Source organism: Homo sapiens, chromosome 2, assembly GCF_000001405.40.
Source record: "Homo sapiens chromosome 2, GRCh38.p14 Primary Assembly".
Taxonomy (NCBI): domain Eukaryota; kingdom Metazoa; phylum Chordata; class Mammalia; order Primates; family Hominidae; genus Homo; species Homo sapiens.
The window spans coordinates 179,744,560-179,764,564 of NC_000002.12; the positions used below are offsets into that span (position 1 = coordinate 179,744,560).

A 20,005-nucleotide genomic window follows, 5' to 3' on the forward strand; every position below is an offset into this window, starting at 1 on the left:
CTGCTTAGCCAAGCTTTACGTGTACTGGCAGTAAAAGAGGTTCTCGAGCCTTCTATCAAACAAATACACACTTAGCTATAACTTTAAAGCTGAAAGCTATAAAACAGCTGCCTCAAATAAATATAGCAGGAAAAACACATACACTTATATACATACACACCCCATGTGCCATGCTAGCTGCTTCCAATCAAAGAAAAATAGATTCCCCTGCCAACCTAATATACTAAACAGACACTTAATAAGCACAATGCTATTTAATACATTATAACCCTCACACTCCATTCATGCTTAGAAACACCAGAATTAGAGTTTAGCCAAGCCTAAGCAATAGCACTCCATCTACTTGGAGGCTAACTTTGTGTCTGCCCTTATCTAGTTGGCTTTCAAATACCATATACTTACAAGGCTACATCAAACCTTTCCAAGCATGATGATCTAGTAATTTAACCTCTCCAGGTGAGCACAGGTATTTTATTTATATTTAAATGATACAATCTGCTACATTTAAAGCATCTCAGCTAATAAGAACACACTTCATGAAGAAATACTGTTAATTTCCTCCCATTCTCATTCGGCACACAGTCGTTAGAAATTAATTACTGTTGGTTGTCCAGTACATGACCGGTCATAACTTTTAATTATTAATAATGTCTAGCTTCACAAGTTGTCAACTCCAGTATGTAATCCACATCACTTACTTTCTTAGTTATCTCGAAACATGACTTGTCTCCTCCTATCTGTCTTTCATGTCAAAGATTCTACAAAGTACATTTTGTTTATAGCCTTTTTAATAACATCTGAAACACATAATAACACTGCTAATTACCTACTTTCAGTAATGGTAGCAAATTGCATAATATCACTGACTTGTTCAGAATGTTTAAAATGCAAAGGAAGTCACCTACTGGTAAGATGTCCTCGGCAAACAGCTAGCACAGAAAGAAAGGGATGGTTATCACACCCATGTAAGGAGTTACTTCGCAACAAAATTAAAGAATCATATATTTTGCTCTTCAGCTTTGCTCCTTCAGATGTGTCAGCACAATGTGATAAACACAATTGAGGACTCCACAGGATTCAGCATAACATACAAAAGAATCTGTTACTGACATCCCAGACCCCAGCATCCAAGTTTTAGAATAAAAACGCTCACCTCTGCTAGGAAGTCCACTCCACATCCTGGCAGGGCTCTCACCAGCTTCAAGAGCAACCAAGTTGGATAAACAAAACTTCCAGTATGTGACCAGGATAATGCACAGCGCTACCGAGACTTGGCTCCAGCCCTGATTATCTGTGTGACAGCACCACGTTATATCAGTGCCGCTCCAAGCCTTCCCAGTTGCTGGCTTATTGCACTGCTCATTGAAAATCCTTTACATGCTGGCAACATTTTAGGGAAGGACAAGCACACTCTGAGTCATTTGTAAAGAAAGCAGAGCAATTTCAATTCTATATCTCCATGTGTGCTGAAACCAGAAGCACTGTCAATGTACAAGTCTGAGGTGGATTTATGCTGAGAAACAGGCAACCTAAGCCTTCATTATCAATGCATGAAATCAGCCACTGTGATCAAATTCAAGCAAACCACAAGAAGGATGTGATTATGAAAGTCTCCACAGATTTAGCACCAAACCTTGTGGAATAAAGAATCATCTATTGAAATTGTGTAAATGTTAAAAATAGCTCTGGCTTTTCAACAATGAGCAGGATACAGGGAAGAAATCAGTAGTCTATATTACGAGGACTTATAAAGGCTGCATAAATCAAAATAGCTGTAGGTTCCTGGGACTTCGCTATAGACAAATGAAATCACTGGAGACTATGACAATTATAACAAAAATAATTCCATATATTTGACATAGATGTCCATTAAAGGGCAAATCAAACATCCTTTAACTCCTAAGTGCCCATCTCTAAATTAAAATAATGGTGATAGTTAAAAATGTGCGATGCTATGCTAGCACCAGGACAAAATACCATCAATTTTATTCTAAGATAATTTCATAAACAATAGAGATTTAAATCTATTCTGTGTAACAATAAACATGCAAGATAGATATTTTAACACTATAATCTTTGCTCATTATTTTAAAAAATCTATAGTTCATTAAACCCATGTATTTTTATCCCAACTACCCCCAAATTTATACTTTTGCTTTTTATAATCCTTTCTGTTTTGTTACTAAAATATAAGATGCAAGAGCTACTGGACATCGTCTTTAGAAGACACAAGGTCAGAAAGCAGTATTAGATATACCCCAGAAATACATATACCCCAGAAAGCAGTAGCAGTGCTTTGAGATCACAAAATATACAGATTTGACATGTGCATGCAAACTGCAAAGCAAAAAAGAAATAAAATGTTTATTAAAAATCACAAAAGTAAACTGGAAGAAATTCCTAGGAGGCAACATTGACAACACATTTAAGGTTCTATTCAATTTTTTAAAAAGGGTTTTAGGTTCTCATTGAGACTCTGAAGGCCAGACAAACTAGAATCCAGTAAAGGCAATTCCTGATTTGAGGATCTCCTATAAATGACTGGGTTCAGTTCTAGTAATCCTACCAGCTCTGAGATGACACATTTAGAAGTGTCTACAATATGAAACATCTGTGTAAAACTAAGCAGCACACATTTACGTAACACAGCATTCTGGAGCAACATTAAACACAGCACTCTCATGGGCATTCTCACTATGTCCCCATATGGAAAGTTGACTCCTTACGGGCTGCTGGTTAGATGCCCTTGCTTGGAGACAGATTAGACACACGATTGGATATGCACATGCGTGTGCGTATACATATACCTATGCCATTGAACACAATTGCCCCTCACAGTCACTTTTGCCACCTGAATTCTATTTGTCACCTGAAGCCCCTAGGGCAACATTTGAATGTATTATGAGAAAAGGCATTGGGCATCATTGACTTTGCAATTGTTCAGTGTCCTCTCTCTCTTCTGTCCTCTCTGCCTCACCCAACACACACATAAACTTTCCTTCGAAAATAGTCATAGGAATAGTTCATGAGAGATTGTATGCCTAAAAATCTTTTTATTATTACCACACATGAAGCTCCCTAGTAATAAGATAAAAGTTTAAAATTAAACCAGGATATTTGATTATACGCCAATCCCTTATCTAAAACCCTTCGGGCTTGATGCATTTCAGAATTCAAACGTTTTCAGATTTTAGAAAGGTAATACTCTACGTATGCCAGGAATTATATAATGCCTCCAGTGGCAGATGTTATATAATGCCGCACTGGGGTCTGGGGCAACAACTCTATAATCAGACACATTAACATTCTATAGCAAAACCTGTGCATATTCATACTCATTGGGATAAATAAATGCTATAATTTAAGCTCACATTAGTTCATGTCACGTTTTCCCATCAATATGAATTATAAAATCTTCCAGTTCTCACTGCTTCTTGGATTTCGGAAATTGCAAGTAAGAGATTGTGGACTGTATAAATGTTTACCTAAACTGCTAGAAAGTTATGGATTGGGAAATGGTACCTAAGCAGATGTTCTCTTGCTTAGGCAAGAAATCTGGAGGGTAGTGTTACTTTAATGGATGGGCAAAAATATGAGGGAAGGTGCTGTTAAGAATGAGACACAAAGCAGAGCAGATATGTGGCAATAATGCACGATGACAAAACTAGGACATGGAAAAGATAGGCAAGAAGAAGCCACTTAAAATGACTGAATCAAAAAAAAATACAAAACATAATAATAATAGTACTCATTGATCACCTAAACTCTATACCCACTAGTGTGAAAGGCACTTGACATAAGTATTTTTTTAGCAACCTACCTTAATTTTCAAAAGGAAATTTTAAAAGGACACATGTATTTCAGAGGGAGGCAAAACATTGGGTTATCTCACCCTCTTCTCATTGTACCCAAAAGCAAAATATCCATAATGTTAAACAGTGCATGTGACACTGTCAGACACAAACAAAAAAATAACCTTTGCCTTATGAAGTAAAGATTTCTGTTTTATTTGTATATGCTATAAACTACTTGCAATAGAGGTTCTTTAAAATCAGTTTTAGAAAAAAGTAGCAATATTTTCTGCCATCAAGAGCCAACTGTTTAGTTTTAAAATCCATTTTAAAAACAAATGTTCTCAAAAAACAAGAATAATGTGTTGCATTTGCTTGGAGTCTTTCTTATGACTACACTTCCCAAATAAATACTTTTCTTTCAGTACATTAAAGAACTTTAATATAGCAGAGCATTGACACTACACTTAAGATTTTGGGTCAATAGAACATCCGCTGTCTTCAAAGAGCATTTCCTGGGTGCCTTTTGGGGCCTAGACCTGCACTGGGGAAGTGTCCAGGTGGCATTTATGTGAAGAGGGGTCTTTCTATTCACTGAACAAACTAGACTGGAATGTGTGGCTCTTAGTATCTAGAACACAATCACAAAGTCATTTTCTATCTGAAGAAGGAAACTGCATTTATTTTTTTGACAATACAACATAATTTGGTGAATTCTTCTTTTTTTTAGCAACCAAAATGGTGCCCTGAAGGTTTGATGGAGTTACAGCAGCTTCCAAAAGTAACTTACTATCCTATAAGATGAGTAACACTTCAGGGCTATGATTTAAAAAAAAAGCTCCCTATACCTTTCACATCAAGTCCATTAAATAATAGATAAATACTCAGTGTCTACAGGACAACAGTCTCTGGATTGCAGTGCAGGCTCACCAGAGGGCAAGCTCTTGAAATGAAGTGTGTTAACATTATGTGTGAGTGCCAGCACACTCTGCCCATTAAAAAGTACAATATCCAGCCCTTCCACCTCCTCCAAACTCCATGTAATCAGAAGAGCAAATATGTTTCACAGCTGGCCCAAAAACCAGCTCGAGAAAAACCATTAGGTGCCAAGGACATATACCAACCATATGGTCAGCTGTAACATTCCAGAGGGATGTCTAACCCAGAACACTGTCCAACAGCCTCCTTGGCTGTAACACTGTTAAGATGTGAAAGTCAAATGTCTGTGTGAAGAAAGCTGGTCAGTCCAAGTGAAAATACATTCATCCCCCCAGTGGAAATTGAACTCACTAATTACCACTGGGCTTGGCTCACTACTGAAAACCCTTCTCCCCAGATTAGTTTAAAATGGGTAACACTTCTATTCCAGGCAGACACCAAGGTTTTAAATATGCCTTTGATGATTTAAATCACTCAGACATGTAAACACTTGCCATGATTGTCTAAGACTCAGTTTCCACACTGAAAGGTGTATTTGGTTTTCAAAATCTAAAAACCAAGACTTAATATTAAGCAACTCTTATCTTTTAATACATATAATATGTAAAAGTTTATATTCAGAAGCATTCTTAAAGAAAAAGATAATCCGTCCTTCACTAAAAAAGGGTCAACCACTCCTTTTAATCATTTTATCAAACTTCCATTCAAACTCTTTTATGTATCAATCCCTTAGAGTTCTGTACTTAATCCACACACTTGTATAATCCACACCCTTGTTTGACAGTTTTTAACCACATGTACAGAATATGGAGATGTTCTATAATGACTTTGCCAAGTCTATGTCAGGTATAGTTTTAGATTTCTGACACCATTGAAAACGGCTGGAGCTCTGTCTCAAATTCAAAGCATTTGTGCAGCAGGAGGTGGTTAGAGTTGTAACTTGAGACTTCATCCTATTTCCAAAATTCTCTACTCTCATTCCCAAGGAACTTCAATCTCAATAAACCCTACAATATCAGTCTCAATTAAATTTATCTGGGGAGAACAGATAAAGGGTACCAACTCTTATCCTTGCTTTGAAGAATAGAGTCAGGATTTTGTAAAATACTTGGAAACTAAACAGTGATCAATTCTCAGTAAGACAATGACTTAGAAAAGTATATCAGTATTCCTTCTACTATATGTATCATCACCAGGTCTGAAGTACTACAAGTGAGAGACAATTCCTGAGTGCTCTTATAAGGACCTGTGACTTATACAAAGAAAAGCGGATGCCCTATTTTCAAAGGTGTAATCTGACATATTTTGACCAAGGCCTTTTCCCCTTCTAAGTCTGTCCCTTCACTAAAAACCATAAGTCATATGGGCTCTATCCAATACATGGATTGTATAATAATTATTCTATGAAACGAGTTTTCTGAACTTACTAATTAAGAGGTTTAAAGAAATAAGTATATTGTAAATACTTTAACCCACCTACCTCACACTGAAATGATTTACTTATCTAGTGCACTTACTGGTAGAAACGCAATGATTTGTTATACATTCACCATGGTAATTATATTTGCAAAAGTCAGATATTTTGGTTGAATGATAAATGGCAAGTTGATTCATCAAAAATTAAGTGAAAGCAAGCATTTAAAACTATGTGTTTCTACTGAAAAGGTAAAATACATTATCATACTGATGCATTCTAGCCTTGTCTCTAAATCTGTCATGCAAACCAAAGGTTGCATCATTTAAAATTAATGTTCATTCCTGATATCTCTTAAAATGGAGATTTTTTCCAGACATGGACAATATTAATATATTTAAGTAGTAATTTTTATTCCTGAAAACTAAAGAAAGATCTCTCCTGCTCTTCCCACCCTCCCCACCCCCTGCCATGTCTCCCCTACAGATTCTGCCTACTGCATACAAGGTGCTCAGTCTTTCAAATGAGCATGATCCTGCCCACACATGCATGTCCACACATCCTCACTCCTTGGTGTGGTATTTCTTGCTTTCCATACTCATTAATAATAAGTTCCATCAGAATATTGATGTGGGCAAGGGAGTGAAGAAACTATCATACTTTCAATATACTCATGGCACCATCTTGTGGTAATTCTGTGGTATCGCGTTTTCAAGTTTAATTTTTAAAGTTCTTCAAAAATTTCTGGGAAAACATATTTGAGGATAAATTTAACATTTTAAATATGCATGAGATGCAATGTGATAAATCTGGCCTATGTATTTAAAACCCTACACACATATTTTAAGAGTTATAATACCTATCATTAATGTCCTGACCCCAGAAGCCATTTAATACCAATAACTGTTTCTTGAATGTAGAATAGGAATGAAATTAAGAAATCTTTAAGGGAGACGGGGAAAACAATAACAGAGGATCCTGGGGGCGTCAAAGAACAGTACAGACTATAGCAGCAAGAAAAAAATAAAATTATGTATAACACTCCAACTGACAACCCATTTTCCAATCCTGCTGTCCATTCCCACATCCAAACTACTACTCCACTTCCTGCTGCAAAATACCCAGGTTTTATTACCCTTATCTTCTCCCCCATCCAAAATGTCCTGACTTTAAAATCTACTCAAGCTCATTTTAAAATCTCTTTTTTTAATTTATTTACTAATTGAATTTTAGTTTCTTTTTATTATTATACTTTAAGTTCTAGGGCACATGTGCACAACGTGCAGGTTTCTTACATATGTATACATGTGCCATGTTCGTGTGCTGCACCCATTAACTCGTCATTTACATTAGGTATATCTCCTAATGTTATCCCTCCCCCTCTCCCCACCCCACGACAGGCCCCGGTGTGTGATGTTCCCCTTCCTGTGTCCAAGTGTTCTCATTGTTCAATTCCCACCTATGAGTGAGAACACGTGGTGTTTGCTTTTTTGTCCATGTGATAGTTTGCTGAGAATGATGGTTTCCAGCTTCATCCATGTCCCTTCAAAGGACGTGAACTCATCATTTTTTATGGCTGCATAGTATTCCATGGTGTATATATGCCACATTTTCTTAATCCAGTCTATCATTGATGGACATTTGGGTTGGTTCCAAGTCTTTGCTATTGTGAATAGTGCCACAATAAACATATGTGTGCATGTGCCTTTATAGCAGCAGGATTTATAATCCTTTGGGTATATACCCAGTAATGGGATAGCTGGGTCAAATGGTATTTCTAGTTCTAGATCCTTGAGGAATTGCCACACTATCTTCCACAATGGTTGAACTAGTTTACAGTCCCACCAACAGTGTAAAAGTGTTCCTGTTTCTCCACATCCTCTCCAGCACCTGTTGTTTCCTGACTTTTTAATGATCGCCATTCTAACTGGTGTGAGATGGTATCTCATTGTGGTTTTGATTTGCATTTCTCTGATGTCCAGTGATGATGAGCATTTTTTCATTTGTCTGGCTGCATAATTGTCTTCTTTTGAGAAGTGTCTGTTCATATACTTCACCCACTTTGTGATGGGGTTGTTTGTTTTTTTCTTGTAAATTTGTTGGGAGTTCTTTGTAGATTCTGGATATTAGCCCTTTGTCAGATGAGTAGATTGCAAAAATTTTCTCCCATTCTGTGGGTTGCCTATTCACTCTGATGGTAGTTTCTTTTGCTGTGCAGAAGCTCTTTAGTTTAATTAGATCCCATTTGTCAATTCTGGCTTTTGTTGCCATTGCTTTTGGTGTTTTAGTCATGAAGTCTTTGCCCAAGCCTATGTCCTGAATGGTATTGCCTAGGTTTTCTTCTAGGGTTTTTATGGTTTTAGGTCTAACATTTAAGTCTTTAATCTATCTTGAATTAATTTTTGTATAAGGTGTAAGGAAGGGATCTAGTTTCAGCTTTCTACATATGGTTAGCCAATTTGCCCAGCACCATTTGTTAAATAGGGAATCATTTCCCCATTTCTTGTTTTTGTCAGGTTTGTCAAAGATCAGATAGTTGTAAATGTGTTGTATTATTTCTGAGGGCTCTGTTCTGTTCCATTGGTCTATATATATCTCTGTTTTGGTACCAGTACCATGCTGTTTTGGTTACTGTGGCCTTGTAGTATAGTTTGAAGTCAGGTAGCGTGATGCCTCCAGCTTTGCTCTTTTGGCTTAGGATTGTCTTGGCAATGTGGGCTCTTTTTTGGTTCCATATGAACTTTAAAGTAGTTTTTTCCAATTCTGTGAAGAAAGTCACTGGTAGCTTGATAGGGATAGCATTAAATCTATAAATTACCTTGGGCTTTATGGCCATTGTCACGATATTTATTATTCCTATCCATGACCATGGAATTCTTCCATTTGTTTGTTTCCTCTTTCATTTCGTTGAGCAGTGGTTTGTAGTTCTCCTTGAAGAGGTCCTTCACATCCCTTCTAAGATGGATTCCTAGGAATTTTATTTTCTTTGAAGCAATTGTAAATGGGAGTTCACTCATGATTTGGCTCTCTGTCTGTTATTGGTGTATAAGAATGCTTGCGATTTTTGCACATTGATTTTATATCCTGAGACTTTGCTGAAGATGCTTATCAGCTTAAGGAGATTTTGGGCTGAGACGATGGGGTTTTCTAAAGACACAATCATGTCATCTGCAAACAGGGACAATTTGACTTCCTCTTTTCCTAATTGAATACTCTTTATTTCTTTCTCCTGCCTGATTTCCCTGGCCAGAACTTCCAACACTGTGTTGAATAGGAGTGGTGAGAGAGGGCATCCCTGTCTTGTGCCAGTTTTCAAAGGGAATGCTTCCAGTTTTTGCCCATTCAGTATGATATTGGCTGTGGGTTTGTCATAAATAGCTCTTATTATTTTCAGATACGTCCCATCAATACCTAATTTATTGAGAGTTTTTAGCATGAAGGGCTGTCGAATTTTGTCAAAGGCCTTTTCTGCATCTACTGGGATAATCATGTGGTTTTTGTCTTTGGTTCTGTTTATATGCTGTATTACATTTATTGATTTGCATATGTTGAACCAGCCTTGCATCCCAGGGATGAAGCCCAGTTGATCATGGTGGATAAGCTTTTTGATGTGCTGCTGAATTCGGTGTGCCAGTATTTTATTGAGGATTTTTGCATTGATATTCATCAGGGATATTGGTCTAAAATTCTCTTTTTTGCTGTGCCTCTACCAGGCTTTGCTGTCAGGATAATGCTGTCCTCATAAAATGAGTTAGGGAGGATTCCCTCTTTTTCTATTGATTGGAATAATTTCAGAAGGAATGGTACCAGTTCCTCCTTGTACCTCTGGTAGAATTTGGCTGTAAATCCATCTGTCCTGGACTTTTTTTGGTTGATAGGCTATTAAATATTGCCTCAATTTCAGAGCCTGTTATTGGTCTCTTCAGAGATTGAACTTCTTCCTGGTTTAGTCTTGGGAGGGTGTATGTGTCCAGGAATTTATCCATTTCTTCTAGATTTTCTAGTTTATTTGCATACAGGTGTTTATAGTATTCTCTGATGGTAGTTTGTATTTCTTTGGGATCGGTGGTGATATCCCCTTTATCATTTTTTATTATGTCTATTTGATTCTTCTCTCTTTTCTTCTTTATTAGTCTTGCTAGTGGTCTATCAATTTTGTTGATCTTTTCAAAAAACCAGCTCTTGGATTCATTGGTTTTTTGAAGGGTTTTTTGTGTCTCTATCTCCTTCACTTCTGCTCTGATCTTACTTATTTCTTGCCTTCTGCTAGCTTTTGAATGTGTTTGCTCTTGCTTCTCTAGTTCTTTCGATTGTGATGTTAGGGTGTCAATTTTAGATGTTTCCTGCTTTCTCTTGTGGGCATTTAGTGCTATAAATTTCCCTCTACACACTGCTTTAAATGTGTCCCAGAGATTCTGGTATGTTGTGTCTTTGTTCTCATTGGTTTCAAAGAACATCTTTATTTCTGCCTTCATTTCATTATGTACCCAGTAGTCATTCAGGAGCAGGTTGTTCAGTTTCCATGTAGTTGAGTAGTTTTGAGTGAGTTTCTTAATCCTGAATTCTAGTTTGATTGCACTGTGGTCTGAGAGACAGTTTGTTATAATTTCTGTTCTTTTACATTTGCTGAGGAGTGCTTTACTTCCAACTATGTGGTCAATTTTGGAATAAGTGCAATGTGGTGCTGAGAAGAATGTATATTCTGTTGATTTGGGGAGGAGAGTTCTGTAGATGTCTATTAGGTCTGCTTGGTGCAGAGCTGAGCCAAAGTCCTGGATATCCTTGTTAACCTTCTGTCTCATTGATGTGTCTAATGTTGACAGTGGGGTGTTAAAGTCTCTCATTATTATTTTGTGGGAGTCTAAGTCTCTTTGTAGGTCTCTAAGGACTTGCTTTATGAATGTGGGTGCTCCTGTATTGGGTGCATATATATTTAGGAGAGTTAGCTCTTCTTGTTGAATTGATCCCTTTACCATTATGTAATGGCCTTCTATGTCTCTTTTGATCTTTGTTGGTTTAAAGTCTGTTTTATCGGAGACTAGGATTGCAACCCCTGCCTTTTTCTGTTTTCCATTTGCTTGGTAGATCTTCCTCCATCCCTTTATTTTGAGCCTATGTGTGTCTCTGCACGTGAGATGGGTCTCCTGAATACAGCACACTGATAGGTCTTGAATCTTTATCCAATTTGCTAGTCTGTGTCTTTTAATTGGAGCATTTAGCCCATTTACATTTAAGGTTAATATTGTTATGTGTGAATTTGATCCTGTCATTATGATGTTAGCTGGTTATTTTGCTCATTAGTTGATGCAGTTTCTTCCCAGCCTCAGTGGTCTTTACAATTTGGCATGTTTTTGCAGTTTCTTCCTAGCCTCAATGGTCTTTACAATTTGGCATGTTTTTGTAGTGGCTGGTACCCGTTGTTCCTTTCCATGTTTAGTGCTTCCTTCAGGAGCTCTTTTAGGGCAGGCCTGGTGGTGACAAAATCTCTCAGCATTTGCTTGTCTGTAAAGGATTTTATTTCTCCTTCACTTATGAAGCTTAGTTTGGCTGGATATGAAATTCTGGGTTGAAAATTCTTTTCTTTAAGAATGTCAAATATTGGCACCCACTCTCTTCTGGCTTGTAGAGTTTCTGCCAAGAGATCCGCTGTTAGTCTGATGGGCTTCCTTTGTGGGTAACCCGACCTTTCTCTCTGGCTGCCCTTAACATTTTTTCCTTCATTTCAACTTTGGTGAATGTGACAATTATGTGTCTTGGAGTTGCTCTTCTCAAGGAGTATCTTTGTGGCATTCTCTGTATTTCCTGAATTTGAATGTTGGCCTGCCTTGCTAGGTTGGGGAAGTTCTCCTGGATAATATCCTGAAGAGTGTTTTCCAACTTGCTTCCATTCTCCCCATCACTTTCAGGTACACCAATCAAACGTAGATTTGGTCTTTTCACCTAGTCCCATATACCTTCGAGGCTTTGTTTGTTTCTTTTTACTCTTTTTTCTCTACACTTCTCACTTCATTTCATTCATTTGATCTTCAATGACTGATACCCTTTCTTCCAGTTGATCGAATCGGCTAGTGAGGCTTGTGCAGTTCTCATGCCATGGTTTTCAGCTCCATCAGGTCATTTAAGGACTTCTCTACACTGGTTATTCTAGTTAGCCATTTGTGTAATCTTTTTTCAAGGTTTTTAGCTTCTTTACAATGGGTTTGAACTTTCTCCTTTAGCTCCGAGAAGTTTGACCACCTGAAGCCTTTTTCTCTCAACTCATCAACGTCATTCTCTGTCCAGCTTTGTTCTGTTGCTGGCAAGGAGCTGTGTTCCTTTGGAGGGGGAGAGGTGCTCTGATTTTTAGAATTTTCAGCTTTTCTGCTCTGTTTTATCCCCATCTTTGTGGTTTTATCTACCTTTGGTCTTTGATGATGGTGACGTACAGATGGGGTTTTGGTGTGGATGTCCTTTCTGTTTGTTAGTTTTCCTTCTAACAGTCAGGACCCTCAGCTGCAGGTCTGTTGGAGTTTGCTGGAGGTCCACTCCAGACCCTGTTTGCCTGGGTATCAGCAGCGGAGGCTGCAGAACAGTGAATACTGCTGAACAGCAAATGTTGCTGCCTGATCGTTCCTCTGGAAGCTTTGTCTCAGAGGGGTACCCAGCTGTGTGAGGTGTCAGTCTGCCCCTACTGGGGGGTGCCTCCCAGTTAGGCTACTCGGGGTCAGGGACCCACTTGAGGAGGCAGTCTGCCCGTTCTCAGGTCTCAAACTCCATGCTGGGAGAACCACTAGTCTCTTCAAAGCTGTCAGACAGGGACATTTAAGTCTGCAGAGGTTTCTGCTGCCTTTTGTTTGGCTATGCCCTGCCCCCAGAGGTGGAGTCTACAGAGGCATGCAGGCCTCCTTGAACTGCAGCGGGCTCCACCCAGTTCAAGCTTCCTGGCCACTTTGTTTACCTACTTAAGCCTCAGCATTGGAAGGCGCCCCTCCCCCAGTCTTGCTGCCACCTTGCAGTTTGATCTCAGACTGCTGTGCTAGCAATGAGCGAGGCTCCGTGGGCGTGGGACCCTCCAAGCCAGGTGCGGGATATAATCTCCTGGTGTGCCGTTTGCTAAGACTGTTGGAAAAGCACAGTATTAGGGTGGGAGTGACCCAATTTTCCAGGTGCCATCTGTCACAGTTTCCCTTGGCTAGGAAAGGGAATTCCCTGACCCCTTGTGCTTCCCAGGTGAGGCGATGCCTCACCCTGCTTTGGCTCACGCTCGGTGGGCTGCACTCACTGTCCCGCACCCACTGTCCAACAAGCCCCAGTGAGATTAACCCCGTACCTCAGTTGGAAATGCAGAAATCACCCATCTTCTGCATCACTCACGCTGGGAGCTATAGAGTGGAGCTGTTCCTATTTGGCCATCTTGCTAGTTTAAAATTTCTAAGGCCAAATAAAAGATGCCACTTCTTGAATCACAAGGCAGGGTCTATTTTTCCACCCCTCTAATTTGAGCTGGCATTGTGTCTTAGGCCATTCCTGCTGCTATAACAGAATACCACAGACTGAGGTGATTTTTAAATAATAGAAATTTATTTCTCACAGTTATGAAGGCTAAGAAGTCCAAGATCAAGGTATCAGCAGATTTGGTGACTGGTAAGTGCTTGCTCTCTCCTTCCAAGATGACGCCTTGTTGCTGCATCCTCCAGAGGAAACCAACACTGTGTCCTCAACTTGGTCAAAAAGCAGAAGGAGCAGGCAGATCTTGAAGCCTCTTTTATAAGAGCACTAATCCCATTCATAATAGTGGCACCCTCATGGCCTAATCACCTCTCAAAGGCACCACCTCTTAATACTGTCACGTTGGGGTTTAAGTTCTAATGTATGAATTTTAGAGAGACACAAACATTCAAACCATAGCACCTTGTGACTAGCTCTGACCAAAAGAATGCAGTAAGTTGCAGCTTCTGTTCTTGCTGTCTTGCAACACTGCTCTGTGACTGCTAGGTAACAAAGCCTGGTCTAATCTCCTTGAAGAGGGGTCTACTGGTAAGAATTATCCAGCCTACAGCCAGCAGCAACTGCCACATGCATGTGTGAAGCCATCTAAAACCATCTAAGACAGTTACTCTGTAGCAGCCTGCAGCTCCACGGGTGTGCACCAATGAGTCCGGCACAAGAACCACCTAGCTGAGCCCAGCCCACATTTCTGACCCACAGAATCATAATTAAAAAAACATTGTTTTAAAATTTTTTCTGAAAGCTTCTGCCGACCTTTCCAAACTTCTCTTGTGTTTCCTTCTATTAATAATTGTCTTACTCAGTTTCAGCCACATCTCAGCTTTTTAGACACACCAAGCTTTTCCTCAAGTTGAGATTTTGAGCATTCTCTTCATTCCCTTTGGATCACTTTTCTCCATTCTCTTTGCTTGACTAACTTTTTTTTAGTCTTAAAATTTTAATATTAAATGAGAATGGATAGCAGAGAGCAGGATGTCAGTCACTAGCTATATTAGTTCTACATAGAGAACTAATATGGTCAGTTTTATCTGGACTTGGGAAGCTGTGGATGGGTCATGGAAAATAAGCTCTGCAATTGTGTGGTACCCTGGGGAAGCAATACCTAAGTGAGATGTCTGGAATTGATGCAGAGGCTCCTAGTTAACATAAACCAGAATGACAGAGAGAACTCAGGACAACTTAGCTCTGAATTCCAGCAGCTGCCTGTGACTTTCTTATCTATGTCTTTGCAGCTGTTTTTCCTGTACCTCTGTTCCCATAGGACCAGAAAACCCTTTTTCCTGTTCTGATTCCTTTCTACCTTTGCAAAGGGATCTTCCTCTTTTCCCCCAAATCATACTTCACTCCAATAATAAGAAACTATTTATAGTTTGTTCCTACATGCATCTGCATTGCCATTGCCTATACCTGGAATGTTTTTTCTTGAATAATTTGAAACTCATCTTTGAGTACTCATCTCAAAGATCACCTCCTCTGAGAAGCCTTCCTTGACCTCCATAAAGTTAATCATTCCTTTTTCTGTGCCACATCTACGTTACATGTAGATCTGTCATTGTTCTTAGCATACCATATTGCAATTCACTTATTTAAATATTTATTTTCTCTTGATACTTAAGACATTGTTCTGTTAATCTCTGTAAAATAGGAACTTGGTAATATTTAAAATAAGAAAAATCCCCAAGGGTTCTGTTTCCTATTATCTCTAATTATGCTACTAGAAAACTGGGGGGTTTAGGTGGTCATCATTATTATAAATTTTAACTGAAATTTTTATCAAGATAATCAGAGATTCACATGCAGTTGTAAGAAATTATGGAGTTTTCTTGAACACCTTGCCCAGCTTCTACCCATAGTAAAAATTTTTTTTTTTTTTTTGAGACGGAGTCTCACTCTGTCACCCAGGCTGGAGTGCAGTGGCGTGATCTCAAAATTTTTTAAAGCTATAGAATAATAGTGTAATCAGGATATTGACATTGATCTGATGTACAAAGCTTATTCAGATTTCTCCAGTATTACCTGGATTCCTGTGTGCGTGTGTGTGTGTGTGTGTGTGTGTGTGTGTGTGTATGACCTGTGTAGATTCATGTATCCCCCACCAGGGATCTCTCATGTTGCAGTTTTGTACCCATATCTACTTCCTTCTTGAAACTCACCCCTATCCCTTACCAACCACTAATTTGTCCTCTACTTCTACAATTTTGCTATTTCAGAAATGTTGTATAAATGGAATTCATACAGTATGTTACTTTGGGGATTGGCTTTTTCCACTCAGTATAATTCCCTGAAGATCCATCCAAGTTGTTGCATGTATCAAGGGTTCATTCCTTTTTATTGTTGAGTAGTATTCCTTAGTACAGATGTACCACAATTTAACAAGTCACCCCCAAAAGATATGCATGTCAAATCCTTGGAACCCGTGAGTGCTATCTTTTTTACAAAAAGGCTCATTGCAGATGTGATTGCTAGGAATCTTGAGATGAGGAAACAATCCAGGATTATACAGGTGAGCTCTAAACCCAACGGCAAGCATCCTTATGAGATGAGGAGAAAGGAGATCTGAAGAAAAGACATAGACACACAGAGCAGAAGATGTTGTGAAAACACAAGCAGAGACTGGAGTGATGCAGCCACAGGCCCAGGAATTCTAGGGCAGCCACCAGAAGTTTTAAATTTTTATGTTTTTTACATTTAAATCTATAATTCACTTTGAGTTAATATTTTTATATGGTGTCAGAATTTAGGCCTAAGTTTATTTGTTTTGTTGCCTATAGCTGTTCAATTACTCCAGGACCATTTGTTGAAAAGGTATTCTTTCTCCATTGACTTGCTTTTGTACCTTTATCAAAAAATCAATTGAGTATGTGTGTGTGGATCTATGTCTGGGTTCTCTAGTCTTTTTCATCTCTCTCTCTCTCTCTCCAATAAAACCACTGTCTTGATTACTTTAACATATAGTAAGCCTCAATATTGGGTAGAGAGATCCCTCCTTTTTTCTTCTTTGTCAAGTTTTAGCTAGTAGCTAAACTAGCTAAAAGGTCTGTGCTTTTTCATATAAATGTTAGCATAATCTTGTCTATGTCTACAAAAAGAACTTGCTGGGATTTTGATAGAAATTGCATGAAAATTATAGATCAGTTTAAGGAGAACTGGCATCTTAATCTTGTTGAGTTTTCTAATCCTGATTTCTAAACACGTGGTATGTCTCTCCATTTATTTAGGTCTTCCATTTCTTTTCTCAGCATTTTGTAATTTTCAGCATACAGATCCTACACATGTTTTTTAAAGTATATAAGTATTTCATTTTATTAGGAAGTGATTATAAATGGTATTTGCATTTTAAAATTTTGATTTCCATATGTTCATTTTTAGTATATAAATATAATATGCAATTGATTTTTTTTTTTTGAGACAGGTTCTCACTCTGTCACGCAGTCTGGAGTACAGTGGTGTGATTGCAGCTCACTGCAGCCTCGACCTCTTGAGCCCAAGCAATCCTCCCACCACAGCCTCCTGAGTAGCTGGGACTACAGGTGTGCACCACCATGCCTGGCTAACATTTTTTTTCTTTTCTTTTTTTTTTTTTTTTTTTTGCTTTTTAGAGACAGGTTGTGTTGCCCAGGCTGGTCTTGAACTCCTAGGCTCAAGTGATCCTCTTTTCTCAGTCTCCCAAAGTACTGGGATTACAGGCTTTTATTTTTATTTGTTTTTCTTGCCTTATTATAATGGCTAGAACTTCCAGCACCATTTTGAATAAGAGAATTGAGAGTGGACATCCTTCCCCTGCTCTTGGTCTTAGGAGAAAAACATTCGGTCTTTCACCATTAAGTATGATGTTACCTGTAGGCTTTGTTTAGATGCTTCTTTAAATCAAGGTAGTTTCCCTCTATTCCTAGCTTGCTGAAAATGTGTGTTGGGTTTTCTCAAATGTTTTTACTGCATTAATGGATGTGATCATGTGACTTCTCTTCTTTAGCTTGTTGATATGGTAGATTTTTTTGTTTTTGTTTTGGTTTTTAGAGATGGAGTCCTGCTCTGTTGCCCAGGCTGGAGTGCAGTGGCGTGATTTCGGCTCACTGCAACCTCCACCTCCCAGGTTCAAGTGATTCTCCTGCCTCAGCCTCCTGAGTAGCTGGGATTACAGGCACTCACTACTATGCCCAGCTAATTTTTTAATATTTTTAGTAGAGACGGGGTTTTGCCACGTTGGCCAGGCTGGTCTCAAACTGCTGACCTCAGGTGCTATGCCCACTTCAGCCTCCCAAAGTGCTGGGATTACAGGTGTGAGCCACCATGCCCAGGTGGTAGATTATTAATTTTTAAATGGTAAGCCAGTTTTGCATACCTGGAATAAATCCCACTTAGTTATGGTATATAATTCTTTTGATACATTGCTGGATTCAATTTGCTCACATTTTGTTGATAATTTTTTACTCTAAGTTTATGAGATACTATTCTGTAGGGTTTCTAAAAATAATGTGTTGTCTGATTTGGGTATTAGGATAATACTAGCCTCATAAAATAAGTTGGGCAGTGTTTCCTCTTCTTCTATTTTCTGAAAGCAACTGTATAAAATTGGTGTCAGTTTAAAAAATCCTTGGTAGAATTCTCCACTGAAACCATATGAATCCAGAAATTTGTTTTTCAAGTGCTTTGTAATGATAAATTCAGCTTATTTGATGGCTATAGGCCTATTCAGATTGTCTACTTTTAAATTTATGTTTATGTTTATTTGAGATGGAGTCTTGCTCTGTCTCCCAGGCTGGAGTGCAATGGCACAATCTTGGCTCACCACAACCTGTGCCTCCTGGGTTCCAGCGATTCTCCTGTCTCAACCTCCAGAATAGCTGGGAATCCAGGCACTTGTCACCATGCTAGGTAAATTTTTGTATTTTTAATAGAGGTGGAGTTTCACCATGTTGGCCAGGCTGGTATCAACACCTGACCTCAAGTGATCTGCCCACCTCAGCCTCCCAAAGTGCTGGGATTACAGGGGTGAGCTGCCACACCTGGCCCAGATAGTCTATTTTTATTTTAGTTGAATTTTAGTTATTTATGGTTTCTGAAGGACTGGTTCATCCTTCTCACTTGTCAAATTTATAAACACAAGTTTTTAGTATTTGCTTATTATATTTTTAATTGCTGCAAGTTGTGTCATAATATCATGTATCTCATTGGTATCTTCTTCTTTCTTCTTGTACTCATCAGTCTTGCTAAAAGCTTACAAATTTCATTGATTTTTCTTTCTTAAAGAATAAGCTTTTTGTTTTATGGACTTTTCCTCTATTGCTTTCCTATTTTCAACTTCACAGATTGTTGGTTTAGGTCTTTATTACTTTCTTCCTTCCATTTGCTTGTGGTTTGGTTTATCTATTCTTTTCTAGCTTCTTGGTCGGGAACTTACTTATTTGAGAACTTTGTTTCATTTCAAATATAAGCATTTAAGGCTATAAATTTCCAGCTCAGCACTGCTTTAGCTTCATCCCACATATTTTACTATGTTGTGCTTTAATTTTCATCTAGTTTTTCCTTTGAGACTTCTTCTTTGATTCATAGATTATTTAAGAGATATATTGTTTAATTTTCCTGTTGTTTTTCTACTACTAATTTCTACTTGATTTCATTATGGTCAGAGAAAATATTGTATATGATTACAGTTCCTTCAAACGCATTAAGGTTTGTGTTATGGTCCAATATATGGTCTACCTTTGTGAATAGCTGTATAGGCACTTGGAAAAAATAGTGTTATACTGTTATTGAGTAGAGGTCTATATAAATTAATTAGATCCTTTTAGTTGATTATATTGTTCAGATCCTCTATATTCTTGCTTATTTTGTTTAATAATCCTATCAGTTGCTGAGAGTAGGTCCCCAACTGCAATTGTAAATTTATCCATTTCTTTTTTCTGCTCTATCAGTTTTTGCTTCATGTATTTTGAGGCTCTGTTGTCTGGTGCATGAACATTTAGGATCATTAGGTCTTCCTGGTGAGTTGAATATCTTATCAGTACATAATGTCTTACTCTGTCCCTAGTAAATTTCTTTACTCCCTACTTCATCAGATATTAATATAGCTACCCCTGCCTTTATTTTTTAAATTACTGTTTGCATGATATATTCTTTTCCATCCTTTTACTTTCAACATACCTCTTATTGATTTTGAAGTGAGTTTCTTGTAAGCAGCATATAGTTGGGTTTTTTTTTAATGCATTTTTTCTTTTGATTGGCTTATTTAGGCTATTTACACTTAAAGTAATTATTGATGTTAGCCTTTAAGTTTGACATTTTATTATTTGCTTTCTGTTTTTTCCTTTGCTTCTTGGTCCTCTGTTTCTCTCTTCTTTCTGTCCTGTGGTTTACTTGAACACTTTTTAGG

General features: G+C 38.2%; 1 protein-coding gene across 15 annotated transcripts in view; it reads right to left on the minus strand.

Annotated features, from left to right (window-relative positions):
- The window catches only part of ZNF385B (zinc finger protein 385B), a 419,631-nt gene that overhangs the window by 302,578 nt on the left and 97,048 nt on the right, over positions 1–20,005 (minus strand). For 4 of the 15 annotated variants that reach the window (NR_148059.1, NM_001352817.1, NM_001113397.2 and 1 more), the window contains exon 1: positions 1,154–1,951. The exons of 9 other annotated variants lie outside the window; for them this stretch is intronic. Coding sequence is in view for 2 of the 6 variants with exons in the window: in NM_001113397.2 (NP_001106868.1) it covers positions 1,154–1,178 (25 nt within the window). In the remaining 4 variants the exon portion in view is untranslated. Of the gene's footprint in view, positions 1–905; positions 1,108–1,153; positions 1,952–20,005 lie in introns of those variants that run through there. 2 more of the 15 variants (NM_001352809.2, NM_001352813.2) reach the window with 2 other exon arrangements.